The sequence below is a fragment of the Homo sapiens genome, chromosome 6 (genome assembly GCF_000001405.40).
Source record: "Homo sapiens chromosome 6, GRCh38.p14 Primary Assembly".
Classification (NCBI taxonomy): domain Eukaryota; kingdom Metazoa; phylum Chordata; class Mammalia; order Primates; family Hominidae; genus Homo; species Homo sapiens.
Window position 1 is genome coordinate 78,979,877 of NC_000006.12, and position 27,759 is coordinate 79,007,635.

A 27,759-nucleotide genomic window follows, 5' to 3' on the forward strand; every position below is an offset into this window, starting at 1 on the left:
TGCAATAGGTAATACTACTACTTCCCAACTGTAGTAGTTGTCATTTTCCTCTTTTTCCTATTAGCCACAGCCACACTGAGTGTTTCTCAGTCAAACATATCAAGAGCATTACCCTGGAGAGTTAGGGTAAAGGTCTTTGGAATTTACTGTACGTGAGATGGGCTCGTTACAGAATTTTAGGCAGAAGCATAGTACGATCTCACTTATATTTTAAAAGGATCACTCTGGATGCATCAAAACAAGGATCAGCAAATCATGACCCTCAGGGCAAGTCTGGCCTGCCACAATTTTCATAAATTTTTATCGGAACACAGCCATACCCATTTATGTATTGTCTATAAATGCTATTATGGCAGAGTAGCTGGCCTTCTGTAGAAAAAATCTGTCAACCTATGCTTTAAAGAATAGACCCTAGGGAGAAACAAGGAGAAACAGGAAGACACATGAGATGCTACCACAGTAATATAAATGAGAGTTCAGGGTGATTCACACCAATGTGATGGCAGTGGAGTGGTGAAAAACAGTAAAGTGCTGAATATACTTATAATCCATTAGATAATTAATTCCCTGATGGACTGGATGTGGAATATGAGAGAAAAAGAGGAATCAAAGATATCTCCAGGGTTTCTGGTATAAACAACTAAGAGAGTCGTCATATTACTGAGATAAAGAGGGCTGGGGTACAGCGGGTTTGAGGAAAAAGCTTGGTAAATAAGTTTTGTAGGTGTTGGATGTGAGGAGTAAAATGATATCCAAACAGTAATTTGATATATACACAGTTATCAAATAAAGTAGCCATTATGTTATGCACTGAGTATATCACAGAGATCCCACAACCCAGGAACTTCCACTGTGCTTTATTCAGAGCAGCTGCTATCAGTTTTGTATACTGAGGAGCTAAAAGTTTGTTTGAAAAAGGTTTCCTTTGACTAATAAAAAGGAAAAGAAAGACAGAAAAGTTTGAAAATCATAATTCTAGCCTCAATATGGACTATTAATTGCTAGGCAAGGATTTCTCCCCATAAGGAATTTATCTATGTTCAATGGGGAAGCTAACAACTTTTACATCAAGACAGGTAAGTTGTATATTAAATAAGAATAATCATATGTATGACTGAAAGACTTTGGGCATCACCAAAAATCATTATGAGGACATATCTTATTCCCCAATAATTCCTGAGGAACTTAGAATGTTTGGTTGAGGAAGATTTCTGTCACTTATTAATTATAACCATTAAGGGGTTAAGAATGCATTGAGTATTCTTTAACATTTCTAGCTCCATGATTTGAGGTTTTTTTAAATATGGAAAGTATAAATAATTTCTTTCCTTTCCAACCATGGGAATGCTTCTAGGCGCAGCTCAAATCTTATTTCCTCTAGGAAATCTCATCTGAAATCCCAACATAAGATGACCCTGTTTAAGAATGGAAATACTTTTATGTTTATTTGAGATAACTAGAGGACTAGGGAATAAGAACAAGTCCATCTACTGTTACATCACTGCTAGGCATGCGAACAAAATTTAAACTAAAGGGAATACCCTCCAGTATCCTAACCTTACCATATTTAAAGTGACCCACATAATTCTATTGGCAGAGTCATCCTATCACAATACTTTGTTGCAACAACACAGTGAAATTAAAACCTGCCAAATGTTAACAATAGATCTATATGTGCCAGTGCATGAAGGAGCCCATGGTATTAGTTTGAGGAAAATTATCAAATTAAGGGGACCAGATGAAGCAAACTGTACTCTTGGGATGAAGGAACTGTTCTCACAGTAACTTATCACTGCAAACCTCAAAAGTTCATCAAAACTGTCCTGAGATGAAAAAGAATATTTACCTAATTAGCCAGACACATGGCTAAATCAGTTTTCTTTAACCAATCTGTCTACTACATACATAAAATAACAAATCAGACTACATTTATCATCACTGACAAGGTAGAAAAGAAAATGTGTGGGTAAATGTGTGGCATTCTCTTTGGTAAAGCTTCCCCAAACAAAAGCAAAGGAGACAACAAGAAAAACAGCAGCTGTGGAATCCAAATTAAAGTAACTCATAATTATAAAGCTGAAACAAGAACTCAACAAATGTAGATAAAATAAACACTTAAAACAGATATATTCTTATACTTTTTGAAAGCTCTGTGGGAATAAAGACCCTACGGTCTCCTACTATTTAATTCTACAAACGACAATTTATACTTAAATGGCAGAGGTTACAAAAAAATCTTCCTTTTAACCAAATACTGCTTCCCATTTACAGTCTTTTGGGAAGCAGAAAACATGCCCCTCGTGTTGTATTTACTTTAGAACAAAAATTAAACAGGTCTCATTTTCATTCCTATGTTAAAGAATTTCAACTCCATAAGAGCTGACAGATATTCTTCCTATAATATTTCTTACGTTCTCTGCTTTCTCTCAAATTGTCCACAGACCTAATTGTGGTAATCAAATCAATACTGCTACTGACCAAAGGACTGAAAACTTATAGCTCACACACTGTAGATTAATGAAGGAATGTTACAAGACCATCTTACCCCACTTTATTCGCCTTGGGGTCAACTGTAACAAGTTGTGTCATTTCTACTCTGTGTGATGTTCCTCACAGACTTTGTTTATTTTCAGCAATAACAATTAATAAGGATGGTTAAACATAAAGGCAATTCATAGATTAATACACTATATGTTTTGTATCATTATGTATTTCACATAAAAAAATCCCACCAAACTGTCAAGAAAAATCTGATCTTTTTAAGGTTAAATGTTCAATGTTTAGAATATGGCAATTTTGTAAGTAAATACTTTTACATGTTAAATATCTAAAAACTCGAATAAACTAAATATATTTAGGTAAACTTTTTTACTACTGTGTATTTCTGAGTTTTTTCTATTATTATTTGCTGATACACTTCAACAATGTTTGTGATCAATTGTACTTCAAGATGTGTGCTTTAAACTGTTTCTCTAGAAAACACCAAATTTGTAATGTTAAAAACCAAACCTTTTGTTTTCTTTCTTTGGGCTTCTTTTTCTTTGGTGATATTGGTCCATCTTTTTCTTCATTTACTTTTTTCTTTTCCTTTTTAATCTGTTTTTGCTTCTGTTTTTCAGATTCTTCTTCTTCATCTGAACTGCTTTCTGCTTTCTTGGTTTTATTCTTAGGAACTTTCTTTGGTGGCTGCAGATTAATTCCTGCATCTGCTGTCCAGTCAGAGTAATCACTGGAGTAGTCACTAGAAGGAGAGAAGGGATTATTAGATAACACACAAGATAAAATTTTAAGACTTGTTTTATAAAAACGAAAAGAAAGATTATAATAAAGAGAAATGACAGAACAAATACTTAAACTACAAAAAAACTTCCCTAATTTTCAACTCATCTTCAAAAGTTTCTTGAAATTCTATAGGCTTTACTTAAATATCGCAAAAAAACTCCCCCAAAACCTGAAGATACATAAAGTCACAACTTTAAGTGAAAAAACAAATTTAAGTACCTTCCAAGATTTTAAGAAAAATACTGACTTCTGAGTGTTGCATATGTTACAAATTCTGTGAGCATATAAAAATAAGAGGGGGTCACTTTTCTCAGTTCTATTGACAGCAAAAAGATAACCCTGGAGAGCACAGAAGGTGTCAACATTAAGGAGATATGGGGATTCCTTTTTTAAGGGGAGGTGGGAGTTCCAGACAGGGGAACTCTTATGGTCCAGTACTAGTGCTCTCAGGGTAGCTGGATATTGAACTGGCAGAGTCAGAAGTGTTCCTACCCAGGGGAAAGACTGTGTTTGCAAACTTTACTCTGCATGTAAAGTAACAAAATTTCATTTAGATAAAATTATTCTACCTACCTACACCCTACACGTTAGGTGTATCTTATGCTTCAAAGCATGCCATGATTCAGAAAAATACAGGCCTTACTATATTTTGTATACTGCTTCCAATCATGTTTGTCATTTCTTTTTAGTTTACCTTCATTGACAAACGATTTACTGAACCAATCATGTTGCAAAATAAAGAATCTAGTTGTATTATCTTCTATATTAATTTTAGTATGTGAGCATATTTACTTATTTTGTACAATTTTATGAACATAAATGTCTTAAAGGAACCTAAGTTATACTATGTTAAAAGCAATAATTAGCTTTCCCAGATTTAATGATATATGACCTCATGCCTCTAAAAATACTGCTGTTAACATTAACACTGAAAAAGCAGATTTTTCTGGAGCTTTATTCCATTGTCACTAACCCTCCCCACTACCCCTCTCCACTGTCCAAATGTTCTTTATAAGCACGTACCTAAATCTCTGATTATCCTAATCATCCCAGATAAGAATCAAATAATTAAGATGTTCTCTAGCATGATTTAGTGATTTCACTATGAAATTTAAAATGATTTTTAAGAACTTACACTATTTTCAGCTATGCTATTCTAAAATAGGTTGTCTTCAACTTATGAGCATTTTATTTATACTAGCTCCAGCCATGGCCACTGTAAATGGTACCTGCCAAATCACACAGTTATCACTCTCTGGAGTACTTGGCTCTTACAGAAGATCTTCTGCTGTCAGCATAAACATAATTACAAACTCCAGAGTCCAGCATTCTTTACAACCGTCCTCAACTGCTAAAACCACCACTACTCTTTTAATACAGGAACTCCTATGTCATCTCAGGGTTTGAAATACTCTGATTCTGCTGTCGAGCCAAAAGAAATTCAATTTTTCCTTCATTGACCTGTTTTGAATACAGAAAACTACTAGATATAACCACACACATTTGCACATCATTACCAGAAATCACTACTGTGGGAATAGGAGAGCCCTTGATTGTACAACTGAGGAACTCTTACAGCCTCTACTTCATACTTTGTCTCGTCTATTTTAAGAGCCACTAAGGTGGGGGATAAGTGTAGCAGCTAATCATAATTGCCATCCCCAAAGGCTATACTCTCTTTTTGCTATTAAGACCTTGCAAAGTTAGCCAAGGTCATAAGCTCTGCAACAATGTGAATCGCCAGTATAAGGAGTTGAAGGAATCCTCACTGGTCTGGTCAAATAAGGTAGGCATAACAAGAAAAAGGAGAGCTTATTCCTCTTATCATTAGTATTCCATAAATTCCACTATATAAGATAGTTAACTCAGGAGGCTTGCATTGCTTTCTTAACTTCATACTTTTCAAAACCAGTAATGAAACTGGTTTGCAATTCAACATTATAACGGTATTCAGAAGAAACAATACTAAGATGATAAAGTTAAAAGCATCATTTTGCAGATCTAGTTGCAATCACCAAAAAATTATTTTCTATAGAGAACATATATCAGAAAATCTACATTTCATACAACTTCAAAAACTCTCTGAAGAACTTTGAACTTACAGAGACTTTGAAACGTGTTGCTGGTTAAAAAAAAAAACACCTTTCTAAAGACTTTATATAACATTTGGAAAAATAAAAAGCATTCATTTACCTAGAACTGCCATCACTGTGCCATGCTCTCTCTTCTTCTTCGGATGTTCCACCACTGACAGCAACTACTTCGCCTTCCTAAGATATGTTGAATACATGTCTTATTGCATAATTTTATAAAATAACATTTTATGATTACAGAAAATATCAGTGATATCTTATAATATCAGTCATATTGGGATATTTAAAATTTGATTTAAATTAGTTGCAAAGGGTGTTGTGGCTCACGCCTGTAATCCCAACACTTTGAGAGGTCAAGGTGGGCAGATCACTTAAGGTTAGGGGTTCGAGACCAGCCTGGCCAACGTGGCGACACCCTGTCTCTACTAAAACACACAAAAAATTAGCTGGGAATGGTGGCAGATGCCTGTAATCCCAGCTACTTGGGAGACTGAGGCACGGAATTGCTTGAACCCAGGAGGCGGAGGTTGCCGTGAGCTGAGATCGCACCACTACACTCCAGAGACTGTCTCAAAAATAATAATAATAAAATAATAAAAGAGTCAGCTGCTTCTCTTTAAAAAATTAGTTGCAAAATACAGCTTTTACCTTTTTTTCACAAATAAATGAGAATATGTAAATGTATATAAAGACATAATACTAATATTGGATTCAGAGCAATCCTACAGATTACCATTGTAAAAGCCTCATAACGTATCTAGATAAAATGATAACAAATTCCATATTTACATTTGAAATTAATTTTTACTTCTTGAGCCTTTTTAAAACACTAAGCTTTCTCTTCTATAGGTGCTTTGAGAAGGCACATTTATGTTTTATTTATTATAGGCACATTTATGTTTTACTTATTAAAACAGCTGTCCCATATAAAAAAGGATGTTCCACTTCTGGTCTTATTTTATCTAAATGGTAAAGGATTAAAAAATACTTAAACACTCTGTTTCTCTTTGGTAAATATTCATGAGTAAACAAAGAATATTATCTGTGAAAGCATTTTCTTCATAAAATTGGGTTTTTTGATGGCAAAAATGTTGCATGTCTTCCTCACTTAAATAAACTTTATGCTCCAATAACAATAACACCTCATATTTATTAAGCTTTTACTGTATGTTACAAACTATTCTAAGCACTTTGTATGTATCACCCCATTTGGGCTTGACAATGCACTATTGGTGATAGAGAGTTACTTAAATAAACAAACTAAAGCTTTAAAAATTTGAGAATTTTGCCCAAGGCGGCACAACTAATAAGCAACAAAACTTGATTTAAGCCCAGGTCACTTTAGTCCAAACCCTGGACAACATTCTGTAAGAATGGTGTTACTTACTTGCTGGGCATATTCAGATAACTTTTAAAGAGGACAATGGGGTGGATTCTTTTAATATTTAAATAAAATAATATACTTGGGACAAAAGTTTTCCCATTTTGATGTTTTAATGAAGAATGTGAATTATATGTCTATTCCACAGTTATGAAAACTAAGCAAAAATGAAAAAATCACATTTGCATATTTTATTAACAAAAAGCATATTTTATTAACAAATTTAATCACTGCTCGATATAACAAATCTAAGCAAGTGATATGATTTTTCCCACATTTTGTGTGTTACTTCCTTAAAGGGGGGAAAAAGAAACAGAATTATTCCTACATTCCAAATACAAAATACTAAAGTACAAAACATCTGAACCAAAAAAATCAGAATTCTTTCCAATTAATTAGTATACTGTGCCCAAAGTGATACTTTGTTCTCAATGGACTCTTCTAGAAATATATTCTAAATTTCTAAAAGGATGTTAAAGCATAAATAAATTAGTTTGAAGACACTTGAAGGACTTGTTGTAACAGATGTGTTTCTGGAAATACAGTTCTTAAGTTTCTAATAAACAGAATATTTTAAATATTATATAGAAACTTAATATTTAGAGGAAACTCTTTCAAAAATAAAGAGACATTTTATAAGATAAATAATTAGCCCACATGTATTTTATGTTTTGTATGTCTATCCAAATTACCATGTGTCAAATTCATATAATCAGTATATTTCTCTTTTTTTGCCAGAATGAATATATCATTTTGACCTGGCTATATGAGGACCCAAAGCTATTGGAGACTAACTTAAATTGTGGTTAGAATACTCTCAGTTTGAGAGTTAATGTTGCCCTGGATAAAGAGAATATATTTAGAGAATTCTCATATATGCCTAGCATTTCAAAGCACAACATGGCTTCAAAAGTGTATAGTAGTCAATATCTAAAATGATTACATCTCTAACCTGTAAAGAAGGAAGGTGATGGGAAAGGTTGAGAAGAAAAGAGGAATGGAGATGGTTTAACTGCTTAATAAGATTGGTTTATGATTGCAAATTGATTGCCTTCACTGAAATAATATATAATTTAGTAAGGACAGTAATATTTACTGAAATAATGACGCATGAGGAATATTTAAAAATTACACTGAGAAAGCTGTAAACTGGTACAGAGATTAAAAACTAACAAAAATTGTCAAATACTTATTGATTTGTTGTTATACTTACACTACACTACAGCTTCATGGTACCACTTAAAAAGCTTGGCTTTCAAGTAAAACAAACTTGCATTTAATCCCTGCTCTACCTCTTAATAGGTGACTGTATAGTCTAAATATCTTTGAGCCTCAGAATCCTTATCTATAAAATGAGAATAATTAATTCACGAGTTTATTTTGTGGATTTGAAATTATGTGTATGTGTGCCATGCCTAGAAATAGATTTTTAGAAAATAAAAGCTGTATCATAAGACCCCAAAATGCCATATTTAAGCTACATCTACAAACATATCAATAAATGCGAAGAATGAAACTCATATTTAAAAAAATAAGTAAAAATGACATCTAATTTATGAATGTGCTGATATCTTACATCTGAAGAACTACTGCCATTTTCTATCTCTTCTGAGGGTCTAGGAGTCTCTTCCAATGCAGATCTTGTACGATAATTGTGTTGATTTGTCTGTTGCTTTTTGGATTCTCCAAGATCCAGGAAATGCTCATGAGCATGATTCTAGAAAAAAATAAATTAAATTTATTCACAGATTGTTTAAAGAGCAGGATTTTTAGTTTAAAAGTTAAAATTTTTTAATTAAAAAAATTCAAGCTGGGCATGGTGGCGCATGCCTATAGTCCCAGCTACTTGGGAAGATTGCTTGAGCCTAGGAGTTCAAGGCTGCAGGGAGGGATGATTGCACCACTGCACTACAGCCTGGGTGACAAAGTGAGACAATTTATCCTAACATACAACAACAATAAAAACATTTGTTCATATTTAAGATATCACTTAAATGGATGAGGTTATAGTACCAACTCAAATATTTTAACATTCATCAAGTTAAAGGCTTATCATGGTTATGCTGATATTTACTTGCTGATTGATTAGTTACAAAAATGCTGTTTTTTTTTTTTCTAATTAATGACAGACATAAGGATTCATGATAAAAGACTAAACCAAACACTGAACTCTTCTGTATCTACATCAAACCTATAGAAATGATGTAAGAAAAAGGATAATGGGCTATGAGGCATATGTAATAGGCAGAGGCAAATTGGAAACCAAAATGGGGATCATAAAGCTACCCTGCCACTATGAAGATAAGATGCCATGTGGCTGGCTTATTTTTCTTCTGCTGGAATAAATGTGAGAAGTCTTCTGCAGATGAGAATACAACCAATAAACACTAAAAAACTGATAAAGTACAACACAGTGATGAAGACAAACTCAATAAACATTAAAATTTATACCTAAAAAACACAAAAAACTTAATAAAGCTATCTCAAAAGTGAATACAAAGGCCAGCCATGGTAGCTCATGCCTGTAATCCCAGTACTTTGGGAGGCCAATGTGGGAGAATCCTGCTTTGGGGTCAGGAGTTTAAGACTGGCCAGGGCAATGGCAATACCCTGTCTCTACAAAGTTAAAAAATAAAATTTAAAGTTAGCCAGGCATGGTGGTATAAACCTATAGTCCCAGCTATTTGGGATGATAAGGCAAGAGGATCACTTGAGGCAGTCCAAGGCTGCAGTCAGCTAGGACTGTCCCAACGCACTCTGGCCTGGGTAACACAATGAGACTCTGTCTCCCCACCAACCAAACAAAAAAGAGAATCACATCCATGAAATAAATGCAGGGTCTTGTCTTAGAAAAAAACAAAGACTCAATTAGACATCCTTGAAATCGAAAATAACCAATTAAATTTGGGAAAAATAAATGATAGCCAGCTGACCACATAAATAATAACTGGTTATTCCAGTTTTTGCGACCACAGACGCTAAAAATATGTGAGTGTGCATGCACACACATACATATATGTATACATATACATATCATTCCTTTTATTTCTTAAAAAGTCCTCAAAGTACTACTGAATTAAGAGATAAGCACATCTTTTAATTTTAATAGATATTAACATATTCCATCCATAAAGGTAGTAGCAAGCAATACAAACTCTCATCATCATTATATAAGTTTATCTCAGCAAAGGATGCAAAAAAGGTACGCTTTCCACTTACCATGAAAAAGCCAACCAATCAATCAAGCAAAAAACAAGATTATTTCAGAAAGAAATTTTCCTTTATTATACTAACAGGAATTCTAGCATTGTGAGGTCCTACTGATCCCAGGGTATGATACACTCAGTAAAGAAAAAAGGACTACTTGAGTATTTTGAAGAGATGAGTAATAAAACAGAAAAGTGAATTCTAGAGAAGAAGACTGATTTAGGAGTTTTAAAAAACTCAAATGAAAAAAAGGAAGGAACACGAAGCTGGTGAAGAAGGCCAGTTATTTATTTTTCCTTTGTTTCAATAATTGCTTTAGATAGTGACTTGGACCTAAAAAGAAGTTTCACATAGGCTTCCTCAATTTCAGACTCTAAGGCTCTGAAGCTTTCAAGCTAAGATGTTTTTCTCCAAAATAAAAGAAAAGAAAAGAAAAAAAGGAAAAAGCGATATTTGTGATTCCTTCACACTCAGGAAGTACGTATCTCTCTCAATTAGGCCATGACCAATTGAAATCTACTGGGTGCAACAGTTTTTCCAGAGTAGGATGACAGAAAAGCCAATAAGTCAAAACTATTAGGGACAATCTACCTCTCTTAATGAAGAAAATGAGAAATATTATCTATAGCAGCATTAGCTGACTTGATTATCTAGAATAATGAATAGATGCAAGACACCACAAAAACACATAGAAAAACATAACAAAATGCTATTTTTAGACTGTACAAAGATGGCACACAAGATTATGAAGAGCTAAAGAAAGTTCTTGATGAGGCTTCAGTGTAATTTATTAGAATTTCATGAGTATGTAAGAATTGGCACTTTGGGAAAGGGTATGCTACAAAGCAGAAATGGAATTAAAAATTTTAAATAGTAAACAATAGATAATCCAGAGATAACCAAGATTTACTATGTTAATTTTTATCATTAACCTGTTTATAATACCATGTTAAATTACAAAATGGAGCCTTAAAATGGTCACTATACTTAAGAAGCAAATATTAAACATCAAAATAATTAATATGTACCTTTGAGACAGTGGGTATTTTATTCTCTTTTGGAACAGTTAAGTGTTTTCTTTTCTCTTCTGACCTGTAAGTCTTTATTTCTTCTTCTCCCTTTGCAGTTCTCCATTCTTCTTGCCTACTGAAAGACAAAAGCCATATGCATTAATCTAGAATTTTACACATAACTTTCCTCCAAAAGGAATGTTAGGTATCAGGAAAGGAACGCTACTCCTGATGTTTTATTTTAAGATGGAAGCATGTGATAAAGATTTCTAAGTTTAATTTCATAGGTTGTGGGCTCAGGACATCCGGCATTAAATGACTGAAATAATGGAAAGACAAACTCTGTCTACCCCAACTTGATACTACTGGTTCCTGCTATGGTCTCTGGCAAACCAAGTATTAGATTCTGGGAATGTGGTGATTCCTAGGGTAATTTTTCCAAGAGTGAGAAATTGGATTTTTTTTTTTTTTTTTAGGATAGGGCCTATGCTTTGATAATCTTCTGTTCCATATAGATAGCTGGAATCTCTTTAAAAATTCAATACAACAGACCCTGAGGTTACACGGAAAGCCCTGAAAGAACTACACTCTTTCCAGAGACAGGGAGGTCAGGTTTCACCGACTGAAAAAACTCAAACCATCAAGGTGAAACTGAACAACACAAATTGAGGAACACTAATTTTAAACTTTAATACAAAAAATGAACTCATGAGAAGATAATTTTATTTTTTATTTCAATATCTTACAACTTTAAAGTTTTTGAAATGCAAGGGTATTTGAAATTTAATTCTCCCTTAAGATTTTATAATAAGAAGGTAGTTAATACTAAAACACAGTGCAACTATATACTGTTGATATTTCTTTACTAGATGATATTAATGTTATCATGTTACTTAACGGCACAATCTCCATTGTGGCTGGCCATAATTCTGAATGGAAAATAAAATGAGCAAATTTAAATCTTGTGAAAAGAACAGGCTTGGATTTAATTTTTTTGTTCTTAATTTTTTTTTTTTAAATTAAACTTTTTACTGCAATAATTATAGATTAACATACAGTTGTAAGAAATAACAGCGATTATTTGTATCCTTTATCCAGTTCCCCCAAATAGTAACTTTTTTTTTTTTTTTTTGAGATGGAGTCTCGCTGTCGCCCAGGCTGGAGTGCAGTGGCATGATCTCGGCTCACTGCAGGCTCTGCCCCCCGGGGTTCACACCATTCTCCTGCCTCAGCCTCCCGAGTAGCTGGGACTACATGCGTCCGCCACCTCGCCCGGCTAATTTTTTGTATTTTTAGTAGAGACGGGGGTCCACTGTGCTAGCCAGGATGGTCTCGATCTCCTGACCTCGTGATCCCCCCCACCTCGGCCTCCCAAAGTGCTGGGATTACAGGTGTGAGCCACCGCGCCGGCCCAAAATGGTAACATTTTGCAAAACTTTGTATCCTTTATCTAATTCCCCCAAATGGTAACATTTTGTAAAACATGGTACAACATCAGAAGGAGGATGCTGACATTTATACAATCCACTGATCTTACTGAGACTTCCCCAGTTTTACTTCTATTAGTTTCTATTAGTTTGTGTGTGTGTGTACACAGGCATACATTGTTTTACTGTGCTTTGCAGATAGTGCATTTTTTTTTTTCACAAGCTGCAAGTTTGTGGAACCCTGCAATGAGCAAATGCCATTTTTCAACCACATATGCTAACTTCGTGTCTCTGTGTCACATTTTGGTAATTCTTAAAATATTTCTGGCTTTTTCACTACCATTATATCTATTATGGAGATCTGTTGTCAGTAATTTTTTATGCTTCTATTGTAGTTGTTTTGAAGCACCATGAACCTCACCTATATAGAACAATGAACTTAACTGACAAATGTTACGTGTGTTCTGACTGCTCCACTAACTAGCCATTGCCCCATCTTCTCCCTCTCCTCAGGCCTCACTATTCCCTGAGACAGAACAATATTAAAGTTAGGCCAATTAAAAACCCTAACTGATCCAGTGAAAACATCTCTCACTTTAAATCAAAGGTAGCAACGATTAAACTCTGTGATAAAGGCATGTCAAAATCTGAGACAGGCTGAAAGCTATGCCTCTTGTGCCCAACAACCACGTTTTCAATGAAAAGGAAAAGCTCTTGAAGGAAGTTAAATATGCTACTCCAGTGAACACAGGAATGATATGAAAGTGAAGCAGGCTTGTTGCCGATACAGAAATAGTTTTTGCGGTCTGGATAGAAGATTAAACCAGCTACAACATTCCCTTAAGCCAAAGCCTAATCCAGAGCAAGGCTCTAACTCTATTCTCTTCTATGAAGGTTGGAAGAGGGGAAAAAGCTGCAGAAGAAAAGTTGGAAGCTAGCAGAGGTTGGTTCATGAGGCCTAAGAACTACCTGTGTAACATAAAAGTGTAGGGTGAAGCAGCAAGTGCTGATGAAGTAGCTGCAGCAATTTATCCAGAATAACTAGCTAAGATCACTGAAGACAGTAGCTACATTAAACAACAGACTTTCAATGTAGTAACAGATCAAACAGCCATCTAAATGGAAGAAGATATCATCTGGACTTTCACAGCTAGAGAGAAGTAAGGGCTTGGCTTCCAAGCTTCAAAGGGCAGTCTAAATCTTTTCTTAGGGGCTAATACAGCTAGTGACTTCAAGTTGAAGCTAATGCTCATTTATCATTCCAAAAATCCTAGGGCACTTAAGAATTATGATAAATATACTCATCTTGTGCTCCATAAATGAAACAACAAAGTCTAGATGGCAGCACATCTATTTATAGCATGGTTTACTGAATATTTTTAGCCCACTGTTGAGACCTACTACTCGGAAAACATGATTGCTTTCAAAATATTACTGTTCATTGACAATGCCCCTAATCACCCAAGAGCTCTGATGCAGATATACAAGGTGATTAGTGTTCTCTTCATGCCTGCTAACAGAACATCCATTCTGCAGCCTATGGGTCAAGGAATAATTTCTATTTTCAAGTCTTTTTATTTAAGAAATTGCATTTCATAAGGCTATAGCTGCACTAGTTATTCTGCTAACAGATCTGGGCAAAATACATTGAAAACCTTCTAGAAAGGATTCACCATTGTAGATGCCATTAAGAACATTTATGATTCATGGGAAGAGGAAAAGTATCACTGTTAACAGGAGTTTGAAAGAAGCTGATTCCAACCCTCATAGATGATTCCGAAGGCTGAAGACATCAGTGGAAGAAGTTACTGTAGATGTAATGGAAACGGCAAGAGAACTATAATTAGAAGCGGCAACTAAAGATGTGACTGAATTGCTGAAGTTGCATAATAAAACTTTAAATGAATGAGGAGTGGCTCATGAATGAACAAAGAGGTTTCTTGAGGGAGGCTACTCTAGTGAATATGCTTTGAACATTGCTGAAATGTTAACAAAGATTGTAGAAAACTATATGAACTTGGCCAGGCGCGGTGGCTCATGCCTGTAATCTCAGCACTTTGGGAGGCTGAAGTGGGCAGATCACAAGGTCAGGAGATCAAGACCATCCTGGCTAACACAGTGAAACCCCATCTCTACTAAAACTACAAAAAATTATCCAGGCATGGTGGCATGCGCCTGTAGTCCCAGCTACTGGGAAGGCTGAGGCAGGGGAATTGCTTGAAACTGGGAGGTGGATGTTGCGGTGAGCCGAGATCACGCCACTGCACTCCAGCCTGGGCAACAAAGTAAGACTCTGTCTCAAAAAGAAAAGAAAAGAAAATTACATGAACCTAATAAAGCAATGGCAGGGTTTGAGAGGACTGACCCCAGTTTTGAAATAAGTTCCACACAGAAATATTTCATGAGAGGAGTCAAATCAATGTGGCAAGCTTTATTATTGTCTTATTTTAAGAAATTGCCACAGCCACTACAAGCTTCAGCAACCTCCACTCTGATCAGCCAGCAGCCATCAACATCGAGGCAAGACCCTTCACCAGCAAGAAGAGTATAATCACTGAAGGTTCAGATGGTTGTTAGCGTTTTTCAGCAGTAAAGAATTTTCAAATTAGGTATGTAGTTTTTTTCAGACATAATCATATTGTTCAATTAACAGATTATAGAATAGTATAACCTTAACTTTTATACGCACTTGGAAACAAACAAACAAAATCATGTGAGCTGCTTTACTGCACTGGTCTGAAACCAAACCTGCAATATCCCCAAAGTATGCCTGTATCTTAGCAACCTAAATCTGTTCTCCATTCCTATACCCTTGTCATTTCAAGAATATTTCATAAATGGAATCATACAGGATGTACTTTGAAATTATTTTTCTCCACTCAGCATAATTCCCTCAAGATTCATACCCATTGTATCAATATGCTGTTCCTTTTTATTGCACAGTAGTAGTCCATGGTGTGAATATACCATTGTTTAACCATCTACCCACTAAAATACATCTGGGTATCTTTCTGGCTTTTGGGTATTACAAATAAAGCTGCTATACATTTATGTTCAGGTTTTTGTGTGAACATGAGTTTTCATTTCTTTAGGATAAATTCCCAATAGTGCAACTGCTGGGTCATATGACAGGCAGTTCCATGTTTAGGATTTTAGGAAAGTGCAAAACTGTTTCCCAAAATGGCTCTATCATTTTACATTCCCACTAGCAATGCATGAGTAATTCAGTTTTCTCTACATCCTCTCTAGCATTTGGTGCTGTCACTTATTTTTTATTTTAACCATTCTGAGAAGAATGCAGTGATATTTCACTGTGGTTTCAACTTGTATTTCCCTAGTGGTTAATGACATTGATTATCTTTTCATGTGCTTATTTGTCATCTATAGATCCTCTTTGGTAAATGTCTGTTCATGTCTTTTGCCCATTCTCCGGTTGGATTCTGTTGTTTACTATTGAGTTATGAGAATTATTTCTATGTTACTTAGCCCCCTGTTGGGTATGTCATTGGATTCCATTTTAATTAATGGATGAGGCTGACCCATTTCAGAGAGCCTTTTTAAAAGGAAACTTTAGACTACCCACTGGAGAGATTCTTAGGAAGATTCCCATAGGATGAGTACAAAGTTTTAGAGACAAAGCTCCAGGAAGCCCAAAGAAAGAATATCTGTTAAAGTTATGGCCACAGTCTTGCTTGACCATAGGCCAATGAATAGTTAAGCCCAATGATAAAGGAATAAAAGGATGAAGAATATTTGAAGAGAAATAAATCTTCCTCACTCCTCAGGTTCCCTTCCATGTGCAGGAGCCTCAACCTACAACTAGCAACCTTATCTCCTGACTCATTCCTCTCCAGAGGAGGAGTAAATTAGTCAACTGATATGCTCTGGAAGAAAAACCCAGCTTAGCACAGCCCAGCCTTATGCCATTGTGTGCAATTATACATTTGGCCCTGCATCTTAAAGAAGCAAACCACATGTCCTGTCCCACAAGGGGAGAAAAACTGTGGCCCACTGCTATCTGTGTCTGGTGAATATTACTTTTTGTTACTGATATGGTTTTTGTGGAATATTACTTTTTGTTACTGATATGGGTTTTATTTCACGAAATAAAAAGTGATAGTAACAAACAGTGATAGGCTGATTTACTATGTCTTATTCTCCATGTTATTTTTCAATTATTTCAGAATTGGTGTTGAAAAAATGGGCATTATTTATTTGACCCCTTTCAAACCTTAACATTAGAATTAAAAAGTAAACAAGAATCTAACTAAAAATATGCCATGTGAGTTAATTAATTTATGACGGATAACTGGGCATATTTGTCATAAGAAAGTGTAAATGTATACCTTTGGTGTGTATTTAATTCTAAATCCTAACATAAATTCAAAGTATGTCCAATCAAAAAGCATAATCTATATGAACATTAAGACCAAAATTTTAATTATGTAATTACTATCTTCTGAGTTGAAGAACTAGACAATCTTAAATTCAAATTCACATTTTGACCTTCATACTTAGAACACACTTCATACACAGAAATCAGCCTTACTTAAGTTCATATAGGCCTCATTCATGAGTATTTCATGACTGAAGATCAAAAGGAACTGGATATAAACTTCCCTCATGGCATGGTCTAAGAGAATAGAATTTTATTAAATCAATACTTTTAAAGTCATAAATGTATACTTTTAAATATAAATATTTTAATATATATAAAATCTTTTTGTATTTTCCAATTTATTTTTTTTTTGCATCTGAATATCATGTGAATGGCTGGCTAAATCCATTAAAAAATTAAATAATTACAACAAACTTTATAAAATGTATTTTAAGATATAGTTAAACAGGACAAACCAAGACTGAAATATGCTACTCAATAAAACCTCCTATTTGGTCAATCCAAATTTATGATTTTCCTGTTGACCTTAACACGTATCATTCTTATCATTTACATAAATCATTCTAGAAATAAATATATTTTAGAAACTTAATTTTTCTACAGTCATGAATAGTTTATACTGCCCTTCCAGAAAAATTTCAGAGGAATTACAGAGCTGAAAATAACAGCTGTGAATGCTGTTAACTCCAAAATGAACCCAAGGAACTATGGTACATAAAAATTCACAACTTCCCTTACCTGGCTACACCAGCTGATAGCTCGGGTACTACCACCCTTCGACTCCAAGCTACCAGATCCCGCTCTGTGGCTATTTCACTTCTTGGTGCGTTGCTGTGCATTTGCCGTACACCTTCAATTTGTCCACTACGTCTTAGTCCTACGTTTGGTGGTGAATGAACCTCTGAGGTAGAACTTATGGAGCCTAAGTGAAAAAGTTACTATATTAAGTTCTACTTAGAGATATTTCTCCATTAGTTTATAACAGAAAAAAGAGATAAAACACTATCTTCCATAAGAAACTTCATATTGTGGCAAAATAATTAAATTACCATATCAGGAACTAAACCACAGGCAAAAGTGGTTTAATGAAAACAAAACATGGTTATTCAGTTGATTAGATAAGTCAATGAATCATAACTATAGACTATTAAGCCCCAAGGATACAAAATCATTACTTTAAAAAAATGCTAAGTATTTTTGAGAAAACTTCATAAGAAGCAAACTAGACAAACCCAAGAGTATTAATGGTTCATAAATTTGTTTTGACTCTTAAAGTTTAATAATATACAACAATAAGGGTGATGAGATGTTCAAGAATGTGGCTTTGACTATTCTACATGTTTACTATAGAAAATGTGGAAGACATACACATTTAAAAACTCATTATCTCTAACTTGAAATCTCATTATGAACCATTTTCTTAGGTCATTAAATATTCTTCAAAACCATGATCATTTTGGCAACCTAATATTTCATTTTACGGATGTACCATAATTTTTTTAAACCACTTAACACTGTGGGAGATTTAGGCTGTTTCAAATTTTTAAATATTTCACTTAAAATAGAATACCTGCTTACCTCTACTTAAACGGCTGGTATTACTGATAACTGCTTCACCAGAACGTCTCAGGTCTTGCTCCTGTTGTAGTCTTTGAATCATGCTGTCCAGTGGGCTGATCTCCTGGTTTGCTTGCTGACTTAAAACTTGATTCAGTCCTATACAATACCACACAAAATATTACGAATATTTTAGCTACTATTCAAACCATTTTACTCACCAACCTCACTTATGAGTTCAGAATTAAACATAAATGTTGCTTGGGTAAAAGACTTAAATGATCAACTATAAATGATGGGAGTTAAAAAAAAAAAGGAAAGAAAACATCTGTCCATCTTAGTTTATCAAAAATAACGATGAGGATGGTTGCTAACTTTTACTAAGTGTTTATCATGACTCAGATACTCATAATCCGTATGGTAACTCCATTAGGTATGTATAAACAACTCCACTTTATAGATGAGAAAACCAAAATAACTGTTCGAAGTCACATATCTAATAAGTGGCAATAGTAAGGTTTTCCACTTAGATCATGGTTTCTTTTAAAATGACACATCTGATTACCCATTTTCTTAAAAAAAATGTTTACTGCCTCATTTATTCAATACATTATTGACTGTCTACTATATGTTAGGAACTACGCCAGGTACTGAGATCTAGTGGTAAATAAGGGACATGAAGATCCCTACTCTTTAGGGAGCTGACATACTGATGGGGAAAGTAAACAATAACCCAGGAGTTAATACAGAGTATGAAAGAGAGGTGTTGAAATAAAGAAGGTGATGGTGGGTCAGAAAAATCAGAGAAGTCCTCTCGGACAAGGTAGCATTTGCGCTGAGATTTAAATTAGATAGCCACATAAAGATCTAGATAAGGAACACTTCAGGTAGAACGCAAGAGGTACAAACGCTGTGAAGCAGGGAGAAACTTGTATTTTAATCCATCCAAGTTTTCCAGCATTAATTCTTACTTGTCATAGAGGACCACTTGACTTCTGCCCTTCTAAAAAGTAAACACCTTCATGCACTGAAACTTTTGAACACAATATTCCCACTATAAAGATAAACATGACAATCTCTTAACTTACCATTCCAGCACCAACTAAAATGGCAATTCCATGACATTTCCTCTGTGAAATCTTTCCAATTACTTCTGAAAGAATTACCTGCTACCCTCTTTCACTTCCTTAAACAACCCATACATATCTAAGTATTCAGACCAATATAAAACATAAATGAAGTCCAAACCCATTAGTTCCTCAAAAGCATGAACTGTCTCACTTACCTTATCTAAATCTAGTACAATGCTAGGCATTAAAAAATATTCACTCTTGCTGAATAAATTTTTAAAAGGTATATTATAAAATATATGAAAAATATTGCCATGAGTATAAAGAAGGGAGCAATTAGTATCAGCCATACAAGTATATGAGAAGATCTGATCAGCTCAGAATTTTAGGGTGGGCTTAAATGGTAAGAAAAGAGAGCAAGAATATTCTGAAATGAAGTAGTAGTAAGAAAGGTAAAAGGAAAAAGAAATTACATGTATTACATGCATAATTTCATTTATAAAAGAAAACTAAAATTCAATAGGATAAAATAACTTGTTTAAGGTCACCAAAGTAGAAGTAGTAAAAGCAGACAGAAGTAAAAGTTCAAATGTCTTATACTTCTTTCCTGGTTTGCTGTTGGAAAACCATGTTGCAATACTGATGAATAATCTGATATAGCTCAAGTTTACAACTGAAAAAAACACATTTAAAGTATGTTGTATGGTGCCAATACAACAAGCTAATTTATTATTATAATAACTCAAATCTATTTTTCCCTAACTCTGAGAGATTTCCCAGAATAAATTTTATTATCTGGATTTGCAAATAAAAAGCTAAGGTTTTTTTTGAAAAGAATTTTGCTTTTGTTCTGTTTTTGTATTAACCAATTTTAGACTCAATAAGTCTAAAATATGACAAAAAAAGATTTTTACTCTGAATTCTGAGAATCAGAACACTGAAAAATTTTGGGACTCATTACAAAGCCAGTATTATTGCTATGGATTCTCTTATGGATACCAACAACTGGTATCTATTTCATTTTTAAGATTATGCCTATTTTATATGGAAGAAAGAATAATGGACTGAGAATCAGAGCTGAGGTTAGAGTCCCTGTGATTCTATGACACATTACCATTAAATTTTGAATTCTCTCAACCTGCAGGACTGGAATATCAAAGATACAGGATTAAATATTGTTTATGAAAGCCCTTTATAAATTGGTAAATGGATTTAAAAAGTAATAATAATAATTAATTAGCACTGATACTTTAATAAATGAGTCTTTTCCTTATTTCCCTGTGTCTGAAACCCTAAAGTAGCTATCTATTTTGAGGCTTGGGAACAATCTGATTTTGCCAATTCCTCTCCGAGAGACTGAAGACATTTCTCTTAATTTCAGTCCTATGACCAGAACTTCTCTAATACTGAAACTTATCTAATCTGAGTCTGAGTATCTGTCCATACTTCTCGAATACTACTTATTCTTTGAGTTCATGCTGTGTCCACGTACTGAGACACATTAATCTCACAAACTCCAGATAAGTCCACTGGACTGCACTACTCTAGGAGTAGCAGCAGGAATGATTCCTCTAATGCTTCTTCTCACCCTCCATTCTAAGTGGACGTGTCTAATTCCAAGAGGAGCCCCTTCTATCCAGTATGTCCATCTTTATTGCAACTTCATGCTAAATCCTTTAAGAAAAATAAGATGCACGTTTGAGGTTGATTTTTTCTGTGCTCCTTACAGAATCTAATTTCATTATTTAAAAGTCACTCAACACAAAAGCTACTTAGAAGCTTTTGTCGATTGAAGTCTAGAACTTAAAATATTTTCATAAATATTTTTCTAGTCTAAAAATATAGTAGAAGTATTCATAATGACAAAACTGGTTTAACCTTCTTTACAGAACCTTTCCTTATTTTTACTTAATACACTAGTGCTGCATTTCTTGTCAAAAGAGGGAAAGCAGTTTGTAGACTTTGACTCCATTTTAACTCTCATTTAATTCTTCAACACTCCATTATACTTCACTAAAACAGCTCTCAACACTTTCCATGTCAATCCTCTTATAAACCTTTAAAAGTTGGTAACTTTTTAAAACATCTTCAATGTGAACAGGCAATCTACAATCTCTCTCACATCATGCTATTATTCCCTTTAGTAACATTCATCACAATTTGAACTATGTATTTGTTTATTCTAATGAACTGTGTTTATTAATCTACTAACCCATTCCATGAAAGCAAGGATCATGTTTGTTTAATCCACTACTGAATAGCCATGGCTTAGCAGGTGTCAGAGACAGAAGAGATTATCAATAAATGTTGCTGAGTAAGTAAATTAATTCACTTGTTTCACACCAAATACAGGAACTACCTTATTGATCCCTAGGGGTTACAAATGGATAATAAATCAAAATTATTACTGTAAATCGCCCATGTTCCATAATTAACTTGTAATCCTTAAGCATGATCAAAGACCTGTATAAAAGTATAAAACATACTTTTACTTCTTATCCACTTAACAACTGCAAACAAAGTTTTACTCAATTAGCAATTTTAACAGTTCGGTGGGAAGAAGAAAATTTGATTGTCTAAGAAAATGAGCACCTACCTGAGGAAGTTACTCCCATCTGAGGGATGAGTTGCTCCTCCCTGCAATTTTCACGGCCAGGAACTAATCTTTGATATCTTGATGGATGAGGGTTACCATCAACATCAACCAAAAAAGGGGGAGGCATAAGATGAGGTGCTTGCTGAGTCTGTTCATCTAATACAAAATTGTTGGCATCACGAATAAGTGGCCGATAATCACTATGAAAGAACATCTGATCTGCTATCTGCAAAAAGAAAAGTCCATAAAAGACTGGAAAAATAAAAATGTATCATTGTAGAAAAAAAGTCTACATCATTTCTAATAGAAAGCAAACACCTGAATACGAATAATGGTATTAAGCAACAATTTTTAAAATATTATTTTCCTGAATTAATTGTAAATAGGTATTTTAATTTTCTACCTTAAGTATTATGATCAGAAAAGTAGCTGCTTTAAATTTTCTCTGAAACAAGTAAGGGATTATACACAGGAGTCCCCTCTTATTTGCAATTTTGCTTTCCATGGTTTCAGTTACCTGTGGTCAACCTGACTCCAAAAATGCTGTTCCAGAAATAAACAACTCATAAGTTTAACTGTGCACTGTTCCAAAATGCATAATGAAATCACGTGCCATCTCACTTGGGACACAAATCATCCCTTTGTCCAGCATATCCACATTGTCTAGATATGCTACCCACCCATTACTGTATAGGAAAAACACAGTGTGAATAGGGTTTGGTACTTTCCAAGGTTTTAGACATCCATTTGGAGTCATGGAACATATTCCCTGTGGATAAGAGGAGGCTACTGTGTAGAAAAGCTACCACTAAAAATAAGCTATTCAATATTCAATTTTAAATTAAATGGTAACATCAAATCTAGTCATAAATCATTCAACAGTATTTTTACTTCCACAGAGCTACCATGCTTTATCTTAAATCCTTAGGTATACAGTAAGTATGATTTGTGTAATATTACTATAAAAATCACATAAGATTTTCTAAGGGTTAATAAGCATTTTCTCTAAATGTTTTGAGATGATATAAAATTATTAATATAAACTCAACCAGGACATAAATTTTATTATATAAAATTTCACTGGTTAATTTGCAATTTTTTAAACTAAATTATAAACTACTCAATATTTACTATCATAACCTTTTATACCATTCCACCACAAGTAAGCAATTTAATTCTTTTAGTCACTAATCTTAAAGTTGGGGTCTTTAACTGCTGAGCAAAGTGGCAGGGCATATGCCTGTAGTGCCACCTGCAGTTATTTAGCAGGCTGAAATGAGAGGATTGTTTGAGCCCACGAATTCAAAGCCAGTCTAGGCAACATAGTGAGACATTTCACCCCTACTCTGTAAAAAAAAGCCCCCCAAAAACTGGACAGGATCTTTAATAAAAAACATTAACTACAATCAGGTAATATAATACATTTTTAAGAGCCACATGAAAGCCACAGATTTGTACCCTAGATAAGTACGTATTATCTATATTAAAAAAACATTTTACATAATTTCAGAGTCCCACTATGGATAACATCTTCCATCTCCAGTTTATATACCCCAAGTTAAGAATTCCAATCTAGATTGCCCCAGGAGGCTAAGAGTTATTTTTTTCCTGAAATATGCAGATTTTCAAATAATAAGCCCTATTAAAGTGAGATTTAACTGCTGTCTTCACCTTCCTTTCCGAAACTAAGTCTCCAGACTACTTAACACAAGATTCTTCGAATTTTATCCTGAATGTAAAGATGCTGATTCTCACCCACTCCAAAAACATACAACCCCTAAACATGCATTAAAAAAAAATAAGGACATGATATATAGTCATCATACTCTACCTTGTCATATTTGCTACTGGACCCAAAGCCAAAAATTAAAAGATGTCCATGAGAGTCTGTGCATGCAAAATGCTGACCATCAGGAGAGCATTTGCAGTCAAATACTGCGCCATGTCCTTGGCCTTCAATCTGAAATATATTTAACCAACAGTAAGAAAACTACCATTAAAATGAAAAGAATTGGTCACTATTATTACAATAATTTTAAGATAAAAGCATACATCCTAATGAAGTGAAGATTAAGTAAAACAAGCATTGTACAGTAATAAAATTTATGAATATTCATGAAAAGTGCCAGATTAATAGCCTTGAAAAATAAAGTATTCTATCCACAGACCAAACACAATTCAGGAAATAAAAGAATACCAACTCCCCCACCCATAGAATTCTGCTTCATGTTTTAAACTCAGATTTAACACATAATTATGTCTTACACTCCATCTATCTCCGTTCAATCATGCCCTTTCTGCAAAAGCTGACATGTAGCAACTGTACGGATTTTTTGGTAATTCTTGGAAGTAGTAGCCAGAGATCATTGCTCAAATGACACTAGATTTTATTATTTTTGGTAATAAATTCCCTGGTAGTCTGACTCGTCTTTTAAATGGTGAATTTCAAAGGTTAAAGAAAAGGTTTTTTTTACCTGATAATTGTTTTCTGTTTTCCAGTTCCATTAATCCAGAACGAATGGGTTTCCTCCCTGCAACCTGTCAATCAAACAGAGGTGGCCAATCACCACTCTGAATTTTTTGCTCTCAGTGCTTCTTCAGACTATGTTCCAGTTGAAAACTTCTTTAGCAGTGTTCTGAAAGAGGTAAAAATTCTACCCTATCTAAAGCACATCTAGGGACTGAATTTCAGAAACAACTAAAATAGGGAGTTGACTCCCTAACAAATAACAACTAAGGATGATTTTCAACAAATGCTGTTGGATTTCTGGATTAGCAGAATCGGAACACACACACATTATCAGGTAAGAAATACCTCCTTTCTGTTCCGGTATCCACTGATCTAGAACAAATTGAGCTTTATTAGTAATATCCCAGGAAATGCTTGGAAAAGAGAAAGGTAGTAACTTTCTTTCTTTAGTATTAAAAATGTGGCATAAGGATGGATGTACAGTTCACCAAATGCAGAAGTTAAAATTCAGAAGAAGAATAACTGATTTCTCAAGGAAGGTTTGCATTTTGGTAAAAAGAGAAAATATTTCTATAAAAGAAAGGACTTTACCTAAGAAGTTAATACAATACCACAAATGGGACTGCCTCAAAAAGAAAGCTAGCTTTTTCCTTTGGCTTGCTAAAAAGAAGAAATGTGTGCAACAGTGCTTATTAATGCTCTTTTGGATGGTTACAATAATAGAAAAGAAAGAATAACTTTTTAAAAAATGTAACCATATTAGATAAAACTAGGAAAATTATCTAATGTTTAATATACACAAAAACTTAGAAAAGAAAGGAAATGAATCATAAGTGAAACAGGATTATATCTCGAGTGTGAAGAAAGTTGGAGGATGATAAGATAGGAGAAGAAGGTAACTGATTCCAAGTCTACTTTAAAACAATTCAAAAACAAGAAAGAATATAACTATTTCTCCAGATTACCATAAGGGCACCAGGAGCCATACAGCTAGGCATTTGCCAAAAATGAAAGACTATAAGTACAAATTCAGGATTCAAGTCTTTATTTTTCAGTGTTTTCCTAGGCAAATAAAAAAAAAAGTTACATGAACTGTTATAAATAAGCAACCACATGAACAAAGTACACCTCTAAATAGACTTTTATATCAAAAACTAAAAATTAGGGGATTGAAACTGCCTTAGCCATGTGTTGTTAAATGATTTTTTTTTAACTCAGTTCACTCAAAATTTCACAGAAGCCAAGAGAGAGAACAAAAAAGCAACTACTTTATAAATCTACTCTAATAAATGTTTCCAGAAGTATAATTACAAGTCTAAGATTACAATTTGAAGTAGAGTGGAGACTTGAAAGTAGTCCAATTTAGCAATTTCAAAGGAAATCTGATAAATGTTCCTAAGCATGGTATCCTTCATGTGTTGTTTAAACAAACATTTTTTCTTTTTGGGGGTGAGGGTTGCGGGGCAAGTAGGACTGATCAACCCTTGACCCTATTATTTATCAATGTTGCCACATTTACAGTTAGTAGATCTCTGAAATAATCTTGGGGACAGTTGAAGCTTATAAAGCTCTAAAAGAGCAAAGAAAAAATAGCAATCATATTTAAGATGCCTGTGTGTCCTATATAACACATTTCATTGTGAATATGGCAAGACAGTATTAATTTTCTTGGTATAAGGCATCTGTTTAACTCCAAAGTGACTTTTATATGGAGAAAATGAAAGTATATTTCAATCATATCAGAAAAAAGAAAAGGATATTATTTGGATTAACCATTTGTTTACTAAAGGAGGCATTAAAAGAATCTGCTTTACTCATGAACCAGTTAGAAAAGGTGCCTCTAACTTCATCAATTAAAAGACCAACTCTCTATTTATTAATAGATCCTCAGACAATAAACACCCATATCTATAAACTGCAGACTAGGTTTTCCAGACCAGGCTTCCAAACAGTTGATGATATAAAACAGGAAAATATTTTACTTTCTCTATATTAACTAAAAATAGCCTAACTGGTTTTAAAATGTATGGTACGATTAAGTAAGCCAATCAAAAGAAAAGAATTTTATCTTTTTAAACAAGGGTCAAAGTATTTATGAGTAAGAATTCTCAAAGACAAAATTTTAAATGAAGGCACTATTTGAATATTCACATCTACTAGAAAGCAGTAAGGTTTATCTTCAAAAACGAAAAGAAAATACCCTCTCTCACCAAATGAAAGGTATATAAGCCTATCATAAAATTAAATGCACTGCGTATCAAGAAAATGTGTCAACATAAAATTTAATACTACATATAGCTTATGCTAGCTAGCACTTACTGCAGTTGTAGTAAAATAATTAGAAATAGAGTGAAACTAATAAGTAATGAGAAATTATCAAAATAAGTGCATTTTAGATGAACTATTCCTCTAATAAAATCAAGTATGCTTGTTATGCATTCTTTTGGATATATAGAAATAAAGACCACATAAAGCTCATAGACATTAAATATCAATAAGGTTTAGCTGAGATAATCTATGAGACAGTATTTACCAGTAACTGTGAAAACTTCAAAAAGAATAAGAGGAGTAAAAAGAAAATAAAAGTATATTCAGCAATTATTGTATTTTGTTTTATTTTTAAAAGGAGGAGATGGGAGGATCAGATGTGTTAAAATAATGACTCCCTTATTTGAAAATTCTCATACTGACTAAAGAATTCTATAAATACTACCAATAAATGAGTAGTATAAACTTGTTAGGCATTTAGAGATTTATACTAAACTTTAAAGAAATTAAATGATACAAAAACTTATGAGCTAAGAGCTCTGATGAGGACTCATTAAGGAAAGAATACTAATACCTTTTTTGAGGGAAGGTACTATACACAACTAACATAATTTTCCTGAAGCAGAAAGATGAATGATTAGACAGAGGAATGAGGTCGAAGACCCAAGACATCTCTCCATCAGTAATAGGTAAATCACCTAATCTCTGTGGAATGATGGAGATAAATGATCACTAGAATCCAGTTCTAAAATCCTACCATCTGAGGTTCTGAAAGGTATGTTGAAAAAAACTGGACAAATCTGGAGATGAAGTATATTAAAAGCAGAATGCATACTAAAATTCAGGATCTCAATTATATCAATCATGAAGAATATACAGAGAGTGAATATGAGAAGTATATGCTTCTAGAAAACCTTAACACAAAGTAGGAAGGTTAAAAAATATGGGCTATCTTAGGCAGAACCATCCTCTTCTAGAGTTATTTCAATTCTATTAGCA

The 27,759-nt window shown here is 33.9% G+C and overlaps 1 protein-coding gene and 1 long non-coding RNA gene across 5 annotated transcripts in view; one reads left to right on the forward strand and one right to left on the reverse strand.

Annotated features, from left to right (window-relative positions):
• PHIP (PHIP subunit of CUL4-Ring ligase complex) overlaps positions 1-27,759 on the reverse strand; it is a 143,836-nt gene that overhangs the window by 45,458 nt on the left and 70,619 nt on the right. For 3 of the 4 annotated variants that reach the window (NM_017934.7, XM_011535918.4, XM_011535919.2), the window contains 8 exons: positions 23,854-23,982; positions 22,023-22,248; positions 18,378-18,515; positions 17,538-17,721; positions 10,992-11,109; positions 8,333-8,473; positions 5,476-5,552; positions 3,010-3,241 (listed from right to left, as the gene is read on the reverse strand). In NM_017934.7, the coding sequence (NP_060404.4) occupies positions 3,010-3,241; positions 5,476-5,552; positions 8,333-8,473; positions 10,992-11,109; positions 17,538-17,721; positions 18,378-18,515; positions 22,023-22,248; positions 23,854-23,982 (1,245 nt within the window). The remainder of the gene's footprint in view (positions 1-3,009; positions 3,242-5,475; positions 5,553-8,332; positions 8,474-10,991; positions 11,110-17,537; positions 17,722-18,377; positions 18,516-22,022; positions 22,249-23,853; positions 23,983-27,759) is intronic. The other variant, XM_005248729.6, reaches the window with a different exon arrangement.
• Positions 23,976-27,759, forward strand: part of LOC124901346 (uncharacterized) — a 73,415-nt gene continuing 69,631 nt past the window's right edge. Inside the window, exon 1 of the long non-coding RNA XR_007059652.1 lies at positions 23,976-24,826. This is a non-coding gene — a long non-coding RNA (uncharacterized LOC124901346). The remainder of the gene's footprint in view (positions 24,827-27,759) is intronic.